Raw genomic sequence first — 17,841 nt, 5'->3', positions numbered from 1 at the left:
TTTCCAATTAGCCCATGGCAGTTCAGCATATCATCAGTACTTGACTAAACCCCTGTAACAAGATCTCTTCCCATACCAACTTATCCTATATACCACAACCAGACTTGCTTTCCTAAAGTTCAAATCTAATCAGATGTCTCAGCTAATGAAAAACCTGTAACCCTCCCCATTACTTATTAATCAAACTGTCCTATTCAAGGCAACAAGTAACTCCATAAATCTGTCCCAACTTACCCTTGTAATCTTTTCTCCCATATACATATGATCTGATCTAACTGGATTATTTTATTTGCTGTTCCTCAAGTCCTGTGACTTCTGTTCTATTTCTGTTCATGGCTTACAGTATTTCCTTACCTGGTCACGGTGATCAGAATACATATAAATATTTATACTGCTTTAACATTTAATATTATATGATAAAACATTTTCTGAACACGTCATTTTATAGATAATTTTCACAAAGCTCTTGATTGTTTCCCAAGTTTCTTGTTGAACATCACACAGAAATCTCTGTATATAAAACACTTAAATTTTGGACTATCATATTAGAAGTGATTCCCAAAAGCACACTTACCAGGACAATATATTAAAGAGTTTTGGCACACATTTTATATCTTTAAAATTCAATTGATTATAATTATCTTAAATCATTGTATTATAAAAGCTTAAGCTTGACCATCAGAGATAGCATATTTTATTAAGTACGATACTGGTATTTACAACCTATAATTCTAACCATTTTTTCTCAACCCTCTGCTCCTTCAGGTCCTCCTCCCCCACTCCCCTGCTTCAATCTCCAGCCTCCAGCCGAGGTGATTACTAGGTTAATGGTAAACAAAGAGTAACAAAAACAAAGAATAGCTCGCTGCTTCTCACAACTTGGTATTCTGAAAATGGAGTAAGATACTTTCTAGTTTTTGAAGTAGGGTTATGGGGGAACTTGTTATTTGAATCAAATGAGCCAGTCAAGAGAGAAGGTTAATGTGTTTCAGTCAGTGTGTCTCCTGGGATGCACCATCACCAAAAGCAGCAGATACAGAACATTTTACTGATGGATAAGGGACAGTATAATGCATGTCAAATATTAGATTATGAGTTGAATATTTCAGTTTGGGGTTCCATTTAGTACACTATTTAAATGAAATAATTAGGATATTTCAAAGCCACCATAAAATTTGCCTCAAATCCCTCTTCCTGCCAAGCACATACTTTTTCCTAATCTTTGTAATTAGATACTCTTCTCCAGATGAAAGCTTCTTTAAAGGTCTCACATTGTAGACATGCACTTGCTCTACCTTAGGGAAGACTCCCTGAAGTCAGTGATTTCTGCATTGAGGCAGAAGGAGGGACTTGCCTTAACCAAGGGAAGAGAAAGAGGGGTAGAATAGTCCATGAAGAGATCAGCAAGAGTGAAAGTCTACAGGTAAAGAGAACACAGTACTTTCTAGGAATGTTAAGTGTTTGGATTCCAAGGGCTAGAGAGGAGAGCGGTGAGAAAGTGAAATAGGAGCCTGGAGCCAGAAGGGCTGAAGGGAGCCATGGAAAGCCCATGCCCTACTTGACTCTTGCCAGTTTCCTGTGAGCAAGCATGACCAGGTATATGCTGCAGAATGATCATTCTGGTAGAAACTGGCCGGATCTAGTTAGAGCTGGGAGCATATAGGAGGCTGACAGCAAGATCAGAAGTAGAGCAGCAATAGTAGTGGGGGCAGAAAGTAATGGAGAGGGGACTGGTAGGGATTTTTAGGAATGGGACTAGACTTTTAGGAATGGGACTAGACAGCGTATCTTATTGAATGGCATAATTCTTACCCATCTCTGCAGTAGGAATTTTCTGCTTTTGGTAAATGTAAAGTAAAACCCCTGTGCTCTACAGCAGGAGGAAAATGTACATAAACAAGCTACTACTATATTTTCTTGACTCCATACAACTATCAAATATAAGAAGTATGGTCAACTTAATACTTTGTGTACGGGGAAAAATTAATGCTTCCATATAAAGGAAAGATGGAGGTTGTTAAGGCTGATGATTGGAGGAAGGAATGAAAAGTTCTTGAGTCTAATTTGTAAGTTTCCTACCTTAGGCAACTGAAGTGAAGTCACAGTATAGTGTCCTCTCGGGAAAGAGAAAGGAAGTACCTTCTATAAGGAAGGACCCAATGGTCAAACTGGGCAAGGAAGGTTGCCAGGAAGTCTGGGAACACCTCCAACAAACAGGCAGCCACACTTTGTGCTTAAGAGTGTAGTTGTTGCCCAGGTCTGCCAAGGTAACCTTCGCAAAAAGGGCCTTGACCTATCTTTTATTCCCAGGACTACTATGTGTCAAAGTATTTGTCATGAAATATTTGTCCCATGGGGGAAAAAAGGTCACATGAACTAAGTCATAACCCCCTTCTATAATCCTTTATTCACTTCCCAAATATATACTAAGCACTGGTTCCATGACAGGTACTGTTTTAGGCACTAGGGATATAACAGATTAAGACAGACAAGCATCTGTCTCACCGCAATGACATTCTAGCCAAATGTAAATTACACGATAAGGACTAGGGAATCCCATAGGAAAGTAAACTGACTAATATATCTAACACTGAAATTTTATTTTTTTAAATTTTTTTCTCCTACTTTCAAGCTAACAAGTTATATTTTATTTTTTAAAATAACCTGACTATGTTTACTTTGGAAAACCCTACTAAAAACCTTTCAACAACCCCACCCTACTCTCTATCTTCTCCAGATTTTGCATGTTAAATTTCTAGGACCTTGTAATCTCAAGAGACTAGTCTCCTTTTCTTCTCACCTCCAAGACATCAATTACTTACTTACATTCCTAGTGACTAGCAGTGCTCTGAATATAGTAGGGGCCTACTCACTAAAATATTGATAATGGGGGAATCTATGCACATGTGGGGTATATGGGAAATCTCTGTATCTTATGCTCAATTTTGCTATGAACTTAAAACTGTTCTTAAAAAAGAGTCTGTTAACAATAATTATTTAAGAATAAAGTCTATTAACATTTACAAGGTAGGGGTAGGATGAAGCATGGGCTGTATATATCTCAAAGACCTATGGGCTGGCTGTGGAGCCATGTGGCTTATTTCTCAGTAAAAGCTTCTCCCTAGGAAGCCATTTCTGCCTCCTTCCCTTCCTCTTTCTAGATATTAGTTATGCAAGGTCCATGGGTATGATACAGTCTATAATCTGGCAAACAGGTTGACAGGAGATGAGGGTACTAAAAAAATTATATATATACATACAGACACACACACACACACAACATTTACGATAAGTTATCTGGTGATTTTTTTTTTTTTTAAAGGCTAACTAAACAACTGAGCTCAAACAGCAAAGACCATTTTTTTCAATTTAAATCTATGTATATCTATAAAGGAATCCCTACTGTATTAAAGGCCCACAGAGTACATAGTGATAGCTGCAGCTCCATTTCATTTGCTTATAACAAATATTCATGTTTTCATCAGAGCATAGGAAGGTTCATGGTGAATACAGCAATTCCTGACACTTCAGTTTCTGTCTTCCTATCAAGAAAAGGTTGTCAAAACCAATACTGTACTGAAAAATGATGTGTTACCTTGTCAACATTTTTTTGTTCCCACCCTTGCCAATTACAGAACATTCCTTAACTACTTGAAAGTCCAGCAATATTTTATCCTTCATTAAGATCTTTAACACATTAACAAAATTATTAAAACATTGCTTATGCTTAAGAATTCATGCCAATTGATAATAACTTTAAAATGTTTATCCTTATACAATTTAAGTATATGTATAAATGAAAATTATTAAAGTAAATGCCTCTAATAAGTTCAAAAATATCAGGTAACTAATATTTGGGGAGTATATGACAGTTTATAAAACACTTTTCACATATAATATTTGATTTAACCCATAAACAACTCTGTGGGCTAGTTAGCATTATTATTATATTACTATACTTTGCATAAAAATATAATTTCATTGATGTGCTTTAAAAACCACAAACTATTACTTGGTTGTGCCACTATCTGAACTTACATTTTCTCATTTCAGATTCCAGTTATCTTTCCATGGTTTAGACAGTCTCTATCTGTACCACTGTTATCAACATATATAGGTGACTAAATAAATGAGTTTAAAAAGTTATCCAGGGCTGGTCCGTTCCAAGATGGCTGAATAGGAACAGCTCCGGTCTGCAGCTCCCAGCGTGATCGACGCAGAAGACTGGTGATTTTGGCATTTCCAATTGAGGTTCCTGGTTCATCTCACTGGGACTGGTTGGACAGCTGGTGCAGCCCATGGAGGGCAAGGTGAAGTAGGGCGGGGCATTGCCTCACGAAGGAAGCGCAAGGGGCCAGAGGATTTCCCTTTCCTAGCCAAGGGAAGCCGTGACAGACTGTACCTGGAAAAACAGGACACTCTCGCCAAAATACTGTGCTTTTCCCATGGTCTTAGCAACCAACAGACCAGGAGATTCTCTCCTGTGCCTGGCTTGGCAGGTCCCATGCCGACGGAGCCTTGCTCACTGCTAGCGCAGCAGCCTGAGAACCTGCGAGGCTGAAGCTTCGCAGGAAGGCGGGGGAATGGGGTGGGGGACGGTGGGGTGTCCGCCATTGCTAAGGCTTGAGTAGGTAAACAAAGCGGCTGAGAAGCTTGAACTTGGGGGAGCCCACCACAGCTCATCAAGGGCTACTGCCTCTATAGACTCCACCTCTGTGGACAGGGCATAGCTGAACAAAAGGCAGCAGAAACTTTCGCAGACTTAAACGTCCCTGTCTGACAGCTCTGAAGAGAGCAGTGGTTCTCTCAGCACAACGACTGAGCTCTGAGAATGGACACACTGCTTCCTCAAGTGGGTCCCTGAGCGCTGTGTAGCCTAACTGGAAGACAACTCCCAGTAGGGACTGACAGACAACTCATACAGGCGGGTGCCCCTCTGGGACAAAACTTCCAGAGGAAGGATCAGGAAGCAATATTTGCTGTTCTGCAATATTTGTGATTCTGCAGCCTCCGCTGGTGATACCCAGGCAAACAAGGTCTGGAATGGACCTCCAGCAAACTCCAACAGACCTGCAGCTGAGGGACCTGATTGTTAGAAGGAAAACTAACAAACAGAAAGGAATAGCATCAACATCAACAAAAAGGACATCCACACCAAAACCCCATCTGTAGGTCACCAACATCAAAGACCAAAGGTAGATAAAACCAAAAAGATGGGGAGAAACCAGAGCAGAACAGCTGAAAATTCTAAAAACCAAAGTGCCTCTTCTCCTCCAACGGATCACAGCTCCTCGCCAGCAATGGAACAAACCTGGACGGAGAATGACTTTGACGAGTTGACAGAAGTAGGCTTCAGAAGGTCAGTAATAACAAACTTCTCCAAGCTAAAGGAGCATGTTCTAACCCATCACAAGGAAGCTAAAAAACTTGAAAAAAGGTTAGACGAATGACTAACTAGAATAAACAGTATAGAGAAGACCTTAAATGAATTGATAGAGCTGAAAACCAAGGCACAAGAACTTCGTGATGCATGCACAAGCTTCAATACCCGATTCGATCAACTGGAAGAAATGATATCAGTGATTGAAGATCAAATTAATGAAATAAAGCAAGAAGAAAAGTTAGAGAAAAAAGAGTAAAAAGAAACAAAGCCTCCAAGAAATATGGGACTATGTGACAAGACCAAGCCTACGTTTGATTGGTGTAGCTGAAAGTGACAGGGAGTATGGTACCAAGTTGGAAAAAACTCTTCAGGATATTATCCAGGAGAACTTCCCCAACGTAGCTAGGCAGGCCAACATTCAAACTCAGGAAATATAAGAACACCACAAAGATACTCCTCGAGAAGAGCAACCCCAAGACACATAATTGTCAGATTAACCAAGGTTGAAACGGAGGAAAAAATGTTAAGGGCAGGCAGAGAGAAAAGTCAGGTTACCCACAAAGGGAAGCCCATCAGACTAACAGCGGATCTCTCAGCAGAAATCTTACAAGCCAGAAGAGAGTGGGGGCCGATATTCAACATTCTTAAAGAAAATAATTTTCAACCCAGAATCTCATATCCAGCCAAACTAAGCTTCATAAGTGAAGGAGAAATAAAATCCTTTACAGACAAGCAAATGCTGAGAGATTTTGTCACCACTAGGCCTGCCTTACAAGAGCTCCTGAAGGAAGCACTAAACATGGAAAGGAACAACTGGTACCAGCCACCGCAAAAACATGCCAAACTGTAAAGACCATCGAGGCTAGGAAGAAACTGCATCAATTAACGGGCAAAATAACCAGCTAACATCATAATGACAGGATCAAATCCAAACATAACAATATTAACCTTAAATATAAATGGGCTAAATGCCCCAATTAAAAGACACAGACTGGCAAATTGGATAAAGAGTCAAGTCCCAACAATGTGCTGTATTCAGGAGACCCATCTCATGTGCAGAGACACACATAGGCTCAAAATAAAGGGATGGAGGAAGATCTATCAAGCAAATGGAAAGCAAGAAAAGCAGGGGTTGCAATCCTAGTCTCGGATAAAACAGACTTTAAACCAACAAAGATCAAGAGACAAAGAAGGCCATTACATAATGGTAAAGGGATCAATTCAACAAGAAGAGCTAACCATTCTAAATATATATGCACCCAACACAGGCGCACCCAGATTCATAAAGCAAGTCCTTAGAGATCTACAAAGAGACTTAGACTCCCACACAATAATAACGGGAGACTTTAACACCCCACTGTCAATATTAGACTGATAAACAAGACAGAAGGTTAACAAGGATATCCAGGACTTGAACTCAGCTCTGCACCAAGCAGACCTAATAGACATCTACAAAACTCTCCACCCCAAATCAACAGAATATACATTCTTCTCAGCACCACATCACACTTATTCTAAAACTGACCACATAATTGGAAGCAAAGCACTCCTCAGAAAATGTAAAAGAAGAGAAATCACAACAAACTCTCAGACCACAGTGCAATCAAATTAGAACTCAGGATTAAGAAACTCATTTAAAACCGCACAACTACATGGAAACTGAACAACTTGCTCCTGAATGACTACTGGGTAAATAACGAAATGAAGGCAGAAATAAAGATGTTCTTTGAAACCAATGAGAACAAAGATACAACGTACCAGAATCTCTGGGATGCATTTAAAGTAGTGTGCAGAGGAAAATTTATAGCACTAGATGCCCATAAGAGAAAGCAGGAAAGATCTAAAATCGACACCCTAACATCACAATTAGAAGAACTAGAGAAGCAAGAGCAAACAAATTCTAAAGTTAGCAGAAGGCAAGAAATAACTCAGATCAGAGCAGAACTGAAGGAGATACACAAAAAAACCCTTCAAAAAATCAATGAATCCAGGTTTTTTGAAAAGATCAACAAAATTGACAGACCACTAGCAAGACTAATAAAGAAGAAAAGAGAGAGGAATCATACAGACGCAATAAAAAAATGATAAAGGGGATATCACCACCAATCCCACAGAAATACAAACTACCATCAGAGAATACTATAAACACCTCTACACAAATAAACTAGAAAATCTAGAAGAAATGGATAAATTCCTGGACACATATGCCCTCCCAAGACTACACCAGGAAGAAGTGGAATCTCTGAATAGACCAATAACAGGGTCTGAAATTGAGGCAGTAACTAATAGCTTACCAACCAAAAAAAGCCCAGGACCAGACAGATTCACAGCCTAATTCTACCAGAGGTACAAAGAGGAGCTGGTACCATTCCTTCTGAAACCATTCCAATCAACAGAAAAAGAGGGAACCTCCCTAACTCCTTTTATGAGGCTAGCATCATCCTGATACCAAAGCCTGGCAGAGACACAACAAAAAAAGAGAATTTTAGACCAATATCTCTGATGAACATCGATGTGAAAATCCTCAGTAAAATACTGGCAAATCGAATCCAGCAGCACATCAAAAAACTTATCCACCACGATCAAGTAGGCTTCATCCCTGGGATGCAAGGCTGGTTCAACACACGCAAATCAATAAATGTAATCCATCACATAAACAGAACCAATGACAAAAACCACATGCTTATCTCAATAGATGCAGAAAAGGCCTTTGACAAAATTCAACAGCCTTTCATGCTAAAAACTCTCAATAAACTAGGTATCGATGCAACATATCTCAAAATAATAAGAGCTATTTATGACAAACCCACAGCCAATATCATCCTGAATGGGCAAAAACTGGAAGCATTCCCTTTGAAAACCGGCACAAGATAAGGCTGCCCTCTCTCACCACTCCTATTCAACATAGTGTTGGAAGTTCTGGCCAGGGCAATCAGGCAAGAGAAAGAAATAAAGGGTATTCAATAAGGAAAAGAGGAAGCCAAATTGTCCCTGTTTGCAGATTACATGATTGTATAGTTAGAAAACCCCATCGTCTGAGCCCAAAATCTCCTTAAGCTGATAAGCAACTTCGGCAAAGTCTCAGGATACAAAATCAATGTGCAAAAATCACAAGCGTTCCTATACACCAATAACAGACAGAGACCCAAATCATGAGTGAACTCCCATTCACAATTGCTACAAAAAGAATAAAATACCTAGGAATCCAACTTGCAAGGGATGTGAAGGGCCTCTTCAAGGAGAATTATAAACCACTGCTCAATGAAATAAAAGAGGACAAAAACAAATGGAAGAACATTTCATACTCATGGATAGGAAGAATCAATATAGTGAAAATGGCCATACTGCCCAAAGTAATTTATAGATTCAATGCCATCCCCATCAAGCTACCAATGACTTTCTTCAAAGAATTGGAAAAAACTACTTTAAAGTTCACATGGAACCAAAAAAGAGCCCACATTGCCAAGAAAATCCTAAGCAAAAAGAACAAAGCTGTGGGCTACCTGACTTCGAACTATACTACAAGGCTACAGTAACCAAAACAGCATGATACTGGTACCAAAACAGATATACAGACCAATGGAACAGAACAGAGGCCTCAGAAATAACACCACACATCTACAACCATCCGATCTTTGATAAACCTGACAAAAACAAGAAATGGGGAAAAGATTCTCTATTTAATAAATGGTGCTGGGAAAACTGGCTAGTCATATGTAGAAAGCTGAAACTGGATCCCTTCCTTACACCTTATACAAAAGTTAATTCAAGATGGATTGAAGACTTAAATGTTAGACCTAAAACCATAAAAACCCCAGAAGAAAACCTAGGCAATACCATTCAGGACATAGGCATGGGCAAGGACTTCATGACTAAAACACCAAAAGCAATGGAAACAAAAGCCAAAATAGACAAATGGGATCTAATTAAACTAAAGAGCTTCTGCATGGCAAAGGAAACTACCATCAGAGTGAACAGGCAACCTACAGAATGGGAGAATATTTTTGCAATCTACCTATCTGATAAAGGGCTAATATCCAGAATCTACAAAGAACTTAAACAAATTTACAAGAAAAAAACAACCCCATTAAAAAGTGGGCAAAGGATACGAACAGACACTTCCCAAAAGAAGACATTTATGCGGCCAACAGACGCATGAAAAAATGCCCATCATCACTGGTCATCAGAGAAATGCAATCAAAACCACAATGAGATACCATCTCATGCCAGTTAGAATGGCGATCATTAAAAAGTCAGGAATCAACAGGTGCTGGAGAGGATGTGGAGAAGTAGGAATGCTTTTACACTGTTGATGGTAGTGTAAATTAGTTCAACCACTGTGGAAGACAGTTGGGCAATTCCTCAAGGATCTAGAACTAGAAATACCATTTGACCCAGCGATCCCATTACTGGGTATATACCCAAAGGATTATAAATCATGCTACCGTAAAGACACATGCACACATATGTTTACTGTGGCACTATTCACAATAGCAAAGACTTGGAACCAACCCAAATGTCCAACAATGATAGACTGGATTAAGAAAATGTGGCACATATACACCATGGAATACTATGCAGCCATAAAAGGGATGAGTTCATGTCCTCTGCAGGGACATGGATGAAGCTGGAAACCATCATTCTTGGGAAACTATCAGAAGGACAGGAAACCAAATCCACATGTTCTCACCCACAGGTGGAAATTGAGCAATGAGAACACTTGGACACAGGGCGGGGAACATCACACACCACGGCTTGTCAGGGAGTAGGGGTGCTGGGGGAGGGATAGCATTAGGAGAAATACCTAATGTAAATGACGAGTTGATGGGTGCAGCAAACCAACATGGCACATGTATACCTATGTAACAAACCTGCACGTTGTGCACATGTACCCTAGAACTTAAAGTATAAAAAAAAAAAAAAAGAAAAAAAAAAGTTATCCAGGGCTGCACTTGGTGGCTGATGCCTGTGATCCCAGCACTTTGGGAGGCCAAGGCAGGAGGATCACATAAGGTCAGGAGGTCGAGACCAGGAGCCTGGCCAACACGGTGAAACCCAGTCTCCACTAAAAATATAAAAATCAGCTTCACATGGTGGCAGGCACCTGTAATCCCAGCTACTTGGGAGGCAGCAGAATTGCTTGAACCCAAGAGTTGGAGGTTGCAGTGAGCCGAGATCACACCACTGCACTCCAGCCTGGGTGACAGAATGAGACTCCATCTCAAAAAAAAAAAAAAAAAAAAAAAAAGTTATTCAGGAAAAAGAATGTAATGACTAACATAAACTTTAACAAATACAAGGCAAATAACTCTGAAAGACAGTACTTGAGCATAACACAAATATCATGATTAAGACTATCAATAAATAGGCATATTTGTTTTAGAGTTATAAAGAAATATATTTCCCCCAAAATACTGTAAAGTGGGTTGATGGTCAGTGCCAGAATGTAAGCTCCATGAGCATAGAGACTTGTCTATTTTGTTCACTGCCATATTCCCAGCATATTAAATGAACATCTGTTGAATGAATGAATGCTAAGTACAACATCGAGTTTCAAAATGAGGCTCTGAGATATGGGTAAATGAAGTTCATTTATATTTAAAACCAGGACACCAAGTACAATTTAATTCATTAGGTAATTACTAAGTGACTTATATGTATGTGCTTATGACTATGCTAAGATATGTTTGTATGGATCCTCCCTTTTAAATAATAAGCTGCATCAGATCTGGAATTGGTGTCAGATTTGTATCGTTTAGAGCGCCTAGTAAACAACTTTCAGTAGATTATTTTCAACCCTCATTGTACATTAGCATTGCCAGGAGAACATTAAAAAAAAATGCCTGTGGACTTACCAGACACAAACTTAATCTGAATCTCTGGGGTAGAGACTGAACTCTGATTTTCTTTTCTTTTTTTAATGTTCACAGTTGATATTGACGCCTAGGGATGGGTGAGCACCTCCGCTGTAAACCAGTGGTTCTCAAACTTTGGGTTACAGGAGAATCATTTGGAGAGCTGAAAATTCAGTCTTACTCTCCCAGTTTCAGATTCAGTAGGTCTAGGGTAGAACCTAAAAATTTATATTTTTAATAAGTTTCTAGGTGATGCTCATGCTACTGGTATGAGAATCACTCTAAGAACCATTGCTACAGGTCACCTATAGTGTTTCTGGAATGAATTAAAGAATAAATGTAGAAGATATGCTAATAGACAAACATGAACATTATATGAAAAATTTAAATATAAAAAAGGTTAGAAAAACATAAATTAAAACCACAATGAGATATCACTACATACTTATTAGAATAGCAGAATGAAAAACAAAACGAAAAATAATCCAAGTGCTGGTGAGGGTGCAATTCTCATAGACTGCACATTGAAAAACAGTTTGTCCATTTCTTTTTTTTAAAATTTTATAAATAATATCGACAAAATGTCCATTTCTTATAAGCTAAACATCATATGCTTACTAATCCCAGCAATCATATGCTTACCAAAGCCATCAATCTTATGCCTGGATATTTACTCAATAGAAATTAAGACATATTCACATAAAACTCTGTACATGAATCCTAGCAGTTTTATTCATAATGGCCACCAGCTGGAAACAACTGAGATGTTCTTCAACTGGTAAATGAATAAACAAACTATGGTATATCCATGCGATGAGATACTACTCAGCAATAGAATGCAACAAACTGCAGATAACTAGCAATACTGTTAATGAATGTCAAATGCACTCTGATAAGTGAAAGAAGCCACTCAAAAGGCTACACACTGTACAATTCTACCTATACAACATTCTGGAAAAATTAAAATTATATATAGAAAAAACAAAACAGTGGTTGCCAGGGGCTGGGAATGGGGGGAGGAGTCAACTACAAAGTGGCACAGGAGAATTTTTTGTTGGGGGTTGATTGATAGAACTGTGCAGGACAACTGATTGTGCAGAACCTCATCCGTAAAATGGGATTAATACTATCTACCTACCACACTAAGTTGTTGTGAAAATTAAATAAGATAATAGATGGGAGAGTGCTTTGTAAGCTAAAATATGCCTTATGAAATACAGTCATGCATACAATACATTTTGCAAGCATTCCTCCTCCTCTTTCAACATATACAAAGAGGCAACACTCTCCACAAGAACCACTAACACTTTCTGATATTTCAAGGACAAAGTGACAAGGACCTGGCAAATAAATCAACGACATACAGTTAATGGGGATGATGAGAGTTAACAGAGAATAACAAAGGGTAATTATGAGGCTGCTTCTCACTGTCCACCAGACTGTCTCAGTGATAGGCAGAGACTGAAGGGGCACACTTAGGATAAAACTAGGGGTGAAGATAAAGCAGCCATGTACCTTTCTTCTTTCAATTCTTCTGAAATCTTAGAAGAAGAAATACGCTTTTTGTTTTGTTTTACAACACTTACCTCTTTTCTAAGAAAATATCCTCCCAAGCATGCTTGTCACTCCTAACCAATAGTTCTTTCTCAGTAAATTGAGGGATTTTGGTTTCTTGATTATAAAACTATATAGACTCTTTATAGAAAACTAGTGAAGAATAAATACATTTTAAAAAATGAAGGTAGATAAAGAGACAAGGTAGAAGCATAATGCTACAACCAGCAGTGTTTATTCTATGAATGTGGTTTAAAAAATATTTTTCATATGTTTATTAGCCATTTGTTTATCTTCTTTTGTGAAGTCTGTTCAAACCTTTGCTAATTTTTAAACAGAAGTGTGTTGTCTCTTATTATTAGTTCCAGTTTTTTACACAGTCTGGATATACTATATTCTTTGTAAGATACATGTTTTGTGAATATTTTGTCCTATGTTGTAGCTTGTCCATTCACTACCTTAATGTCTGTCGTGATAAGTTGGAGGTTTTAATTTTGATGAAGTCTACTTTACATAAATGTGTAGTTAACCTACTTGTAATCATACTGAATACTCAACTTTATACCCTGTTAACTCTTAATAGCATAAGCATTTATTTCCTGATGTTATTAAAACTCCTCACATCATTTTTAATGATTGCAAAATATTTCATTGAATTGATGTTGCATATTTTACATAACTAGCCTTCAACTATTATACGTTGTTAATATATTAATTACAAATAATATCATAAAGGATATCTTTGTAAATAACTTTTGCTTCATTACTTCAGAACATCTCCTTAAAGTATGGAATTCCAAAGAAAACATATTAGAATGATACTGAAAAGACAGCACATGTTAGCAGTAGAGCGCGTCATCATCATCTATCATCATCTGGCAGGCAGCCTTACAGATGAAGCCTTTCCCCTATGTGAGGACATGAGATCCAGAGACAGAAACTGAATTGCCAGAGTGGGTAGAATCCATTCATTAATGTCTAAGTTAGGTCTTTCGATTTCCATTATTGTGCCCTTTTTGTGATACCACATTAATGCTCCTAAAATCTTAAATTGAAATGAAATGTAGCAAGTCATTAGTATTATTTGAATGTGTAAAATTGTATGACTGTGCTCGATTTCAAATGTTGTTCACCAACAATGCATTTCTATACAAGTAGCTCTGAATTTCTATACGCAGTTTTTTCCCTATTTGCTACCATATACATATAATATTCAATTATAGCTGCTTTATAAAGCCAAATTACAATATTAACTTGAAACATTTCATTTGACTTCAAAATTTCAGATAGTTAATGAGTAAACCATGTCTACTTGCTATACACACAATAACACACCACGCACTAAGATGCCAAAATTCTACTTAAACTTTCTTTAAAAAAAAAAAAAAACCTTTTAAAAATGAAGTAGAAGTAGACAGAAATGCTCAATAACTTTGCCTGAAACTTCCAGTATATCTAACAAATATAACACTTAAATCATTCTAACTTCAGGAATTATAACTCAACAAGATAATTATTTTCTTAGGTATAATGTAACATCATCTCTGGGACACTTAAGACTTGGTCTTCCTAATCTAGATTCAGGCTACTTTCTGAGTGTGGATGGCATCATACTCTCTTAAAATAAGTCACAATGAGAGAAACACCCAGAGTTCACAGTTTGTGTTTAAACTTGCTGCTGACTCATTTGTCCCTTGATAACTGAACCTTTCTTCACTAACTTTAATTATAGCTATCTGTCATTTTAAAACTTCCCCTTTCCTTGTGAACGTATTTGCTATCCTTGTGGCCTCTTGACTGTGAGACACTGGGTAAATATGTCACCTCCAAGATTCTTATTATATGGTGTTCAGTCTGCTAAAAACAGAACTTGTACTTTTCATGCATTCCTTTCCTGCGTGTGGATGTTGTAAAGATTACGCGAGATGATGTATGTGCAAGAGATTACTGTTGTTATGTTTGAAATAAATTTCATGGAATTTGTTCTAAACTTGGGATGCCATAAATATCCTCCTCCTCTCTGCCATAACACACCAACTATTCCACCAGAAACATAATTCTTAGGCACTGTATTCTAAATGAATTGCCAAAACCATGGAGATCTGGAAAAGAAGAACTGCTATGTAATGTCTGGTATCATTACTACTCCCTAATCTCTAAATGCAAGTGACCGAAAAAGATTCTCTCTCAGCTAGATGAAGCAGATTCCTCCAGCGTCATCAAAGTACATCAAGGCAGTTCTATGATCTGGAAGATCCAAACAGATGATTCACTCTTCAAGAGTCCTATTAAAAGTCAATTTTTTTTTTCCAAGAAATGAATGGTATGCTTGAATTGAGAGAAAGAAAAAACACACAAAAGTGTTTTCAAGAATTGGTGTGGTATGTGGGAAAGAACATGGGCTGTGGTATCACCTAAACCTGGGTATGAATTTCAGCATCAGGATTTTAGGCAACTTATATTACATCTCTTTGCTTATTTTCTCATCTATAAAATGGATACAGCCATCTAATAGAGCTGAAAGAAAGAAATAATAATGCACATAATGGCTGGGCATGGTGGCTCACACCTGTAATCCCAGTGCTTTGGGAGGCCGAGGCGGGTGGATCACCTGAGGTCAGGAGTTCAAGACCAGCCTGGCCAACATGGTGAAACCCCGTCTCTACTAAAAATACAAAAAATTAGCTAGGTGGCGTGGCGGGTGCCTGTAATCCCAGCTACTCGGGAGGCTGAGGCAGGAGAATCACTTGAACCTGGGAGGCAGAGGTTGCAGTGAGCCGAGATCATGCCACTGCACTCCAACCTGGGCAATAAGAGCGAAACTCCATCTCAAAAAATAATCATAATAATGTACATAAAGTCTGCAAGTACAATAGCCTGAGCAGAGGTAAGCACTCAAACAATGTCGGCTGTTATTCATTAATTCAACCAGCACTCAGTACTTTAGGTACTAGGCATTATACAAAGCATGCCTATGACCTGTATTATAACTATCATCCAATAGGAATAGGGCAAACCTAAGATGAATGCAGAGTAGATGAGTGCTTTTACTATACAATATAAAGGACATGTAGAAAAAGTTAATTTCTCACTACAAAATAACTCCTGGACAGCTTAATGACCTCATTAAAACTCCACCACTATGGAATCAATCCTTTAATTTGAATTAATCTTTTTCTTAATTATTTATTTGGTCCCCCAAATCTACTTTAAAATGTAAACATTCCTAAAAAGTAACAGCTTTACAAAAGAGAAGAGAGAGAGTAGCTACACTTCTCTCCAATGTTTTCTCTTCATCCTTGGCACCGTCTGTCTTCTGGTTCTACTGTTCACTAGCTTTGTTGTTCTTGGGCATGTCACTTGATCTCTCTGAGGCTGCTTCACCATGAAGATGGGGATAACCTCTTCAGCTGCAATGATGTAAGTCAAAATTTACAGAAAAGAGAAAACTTATGGAGTGGGAGACACAAAGAAAGCAACAGGGAGGAAAGAGACACACAGAAAAGAGTCAGACAGATGCTGACTCAGAGAGGAGGAAAGAGGAGAGAGGCAAATACTCAAAGAATAAAAAATTTGTGTAGGGCAGAAATTTCACTCAATGAACATAAGCTCTCAGGATGCAATCCAGCCTGAAAAAGTCCATCTTGGTTGTGACATTTAAGATTTTTAGCATCTCCCAACAATTATTCAGCAAGTTAATGGCAATGGCTTCATCAACATCTTTAAGGAAAAAATGAAGACCTGCTGAGAGGCACAGAGATGGTAAAACCATAGAAGAGCCAGCAAACTTCATCAATTTGTTTGAATGTTCTAAGCAGTCACACTTAAGTGACTAAAGCCATATTCTGTGATATTAAAAAATGTGTATTGCTGTATATACTATATGTTTGTGCCAACATATCATTGTAAAGGGTTATATACACAAAATTATGTATTTACTTTTGTTGAGCATTTTAAGGAATTTTCAAAGACAATATAAATTTTTAACCTTTTCTACTGATTTTAGATCTCAACCCTATAAATGCTAATTTTTGTCCTCTATTTTTCTCTTCCTTACTGATGATGTATTGAGAGGAAAAGGATTTTTATCATCAGACTGCCTTAACTATGTTCTGACCCTCTTTTTCTAGGCAGCTTATCTGATCAGTTGAATAAATCTGTTCTAGGAATAACAGTTCCTTACTCTAAAGCCTCCTATCAACTATTAGTTCTTACACTTTAGCCCAGTTAGTTGCTTTGGCTTATTTAGGCATGTCTGGACAGGCCCAGGCAAGTTTTAGCCTTAAACCTTTCATAAGCAACTTCCTCTCCTTCTTTGTTCTTCGTTGCACTTACCTATTTAGGAAAGTTTTAGGCTATTAGCAAATCGAGTATCAGTTTAAGATTGTGAGGTTCAGCTCCAGCCAATGGATGCAGGACAGAGCAGTAAGGATGACCCAAATGCATAAGGGATAAACATGTCTGCTTTTCCTTTGTTCAGGTGTGCTCTTGTCATTATTCCATCTGTGTGGAGCACCCTTTCTGCAGAAAGTAAAGATTGCCTTGCTGAGAGGTCCTTTGTCTCTGTGCTGACTTTTCTTCGTGACACTGATTATCTATTTCTAACAACAGTTATACCTTATGACAAAGTAAAACATTTCTAAGTTGAATAGTATCAGGATGAAGGCAAGTTGGTCCATACTTTGCCCAGTTTAAATGCACTCAATATGTTTCTAGGAAAAGTCAAATATTTTCCCTATTGGCACTACCTTGGTTTACTTCTCATCTGTCTTCTTCCAAGTTTCAAAACTCACACATACCTTTCCAATCACTAGTCTTCTCTAGAACCACACTGTTCACCTGCATCTGGATGAGGGGGCTCCCATACCTGGCCCCCATCACAAAACCCCCATCTGCTTTTTCAATAGAACCCAACAGGTTTCTACAATACACATTCCCAAATGAAGCAAACTGCACATTTTGGCCTTAGTTCGCAGTATCCTGAAAGCAAAACCATTCACTCTTCTGAAGACATCACAAATTAACAGTAAATTAAACGGCTGCCGTCTC

General features: G+C 38.1%; 1 protein-coding gene across 14 annotated transcripts in view, besides 3 other annotated features; it reads right to left on the bottom strand.

Annotated features, from left to right (window-relative positions):
- NSMCE2 (NSE2 SUMO ligase component of SMC5/6 complex) overlaps positions 1 to 17,841 on the bottom strand; it is a 275,261-nt gene that overhangs the window by 160,610 nt on the left and 96,810 nt on the right. The gene's annotated exons all lie outside the window — the stretch shown is intronic.
- Positions 14,288 to 14,427: an enhancer, noted in NCBI's record as "active region_27905". NCBI's record gives its function as "activates an Ori minimal core promoter by ATAC-STARR-seq in GM12878 lymphoblastoid cells {active_cell/tissue: GM12878}" and the evidence as "EXISTENCE:reporter gene assay evidence [ECO:0000049][PMID:35858748]".
- Positions 14,668 to 14,737: an enhancer, noted in NCBI's record as "active region_27904". NCBI's record gives its function as "activates an Ori minimal core promoter by ATAC-STARR-seq in GM12878 lymphoblastoid cells {active_cell/tissue: GM12878}" and the evidence as "EXISTENCE:reporter gene assay evidence [ECO:0000049][PMID:35858748]".
- Positions 16,453 to 17,652: an enhancer, noted in NCBI's record as "BRD4-independent group 4 enhancer chr8:126201101-126202300 (GRCh37/hg19 assembly coordinates)". NCBI's record gives its function as "activates an origin of replication core promoter dependent on BRD2, P300/CBP, MED14 and CDK7 cofactors, and independent of BRD4, by STARR-seq in HCT116 cells {active_cell/tissue: HCT116}" and the evidence as "EXISTENCE:reporter gene assay evidence [ECO:0000049][PMID:35650434]".

This window comes from Homo sapiens, chromosome 8, assembly GCF_000001405.40.
Source record: "Homo sapiens chromosome 8, GRCh38.p14 Primary Assembly".
NCBI lineage: Eukaryota > Metazoa > Chordata > Mammalia > Primates > Hominidae > Homo > Homo sapiens.
This window is presented reverse-complemented; position numbering and strand designations above follow the sequence as displayed.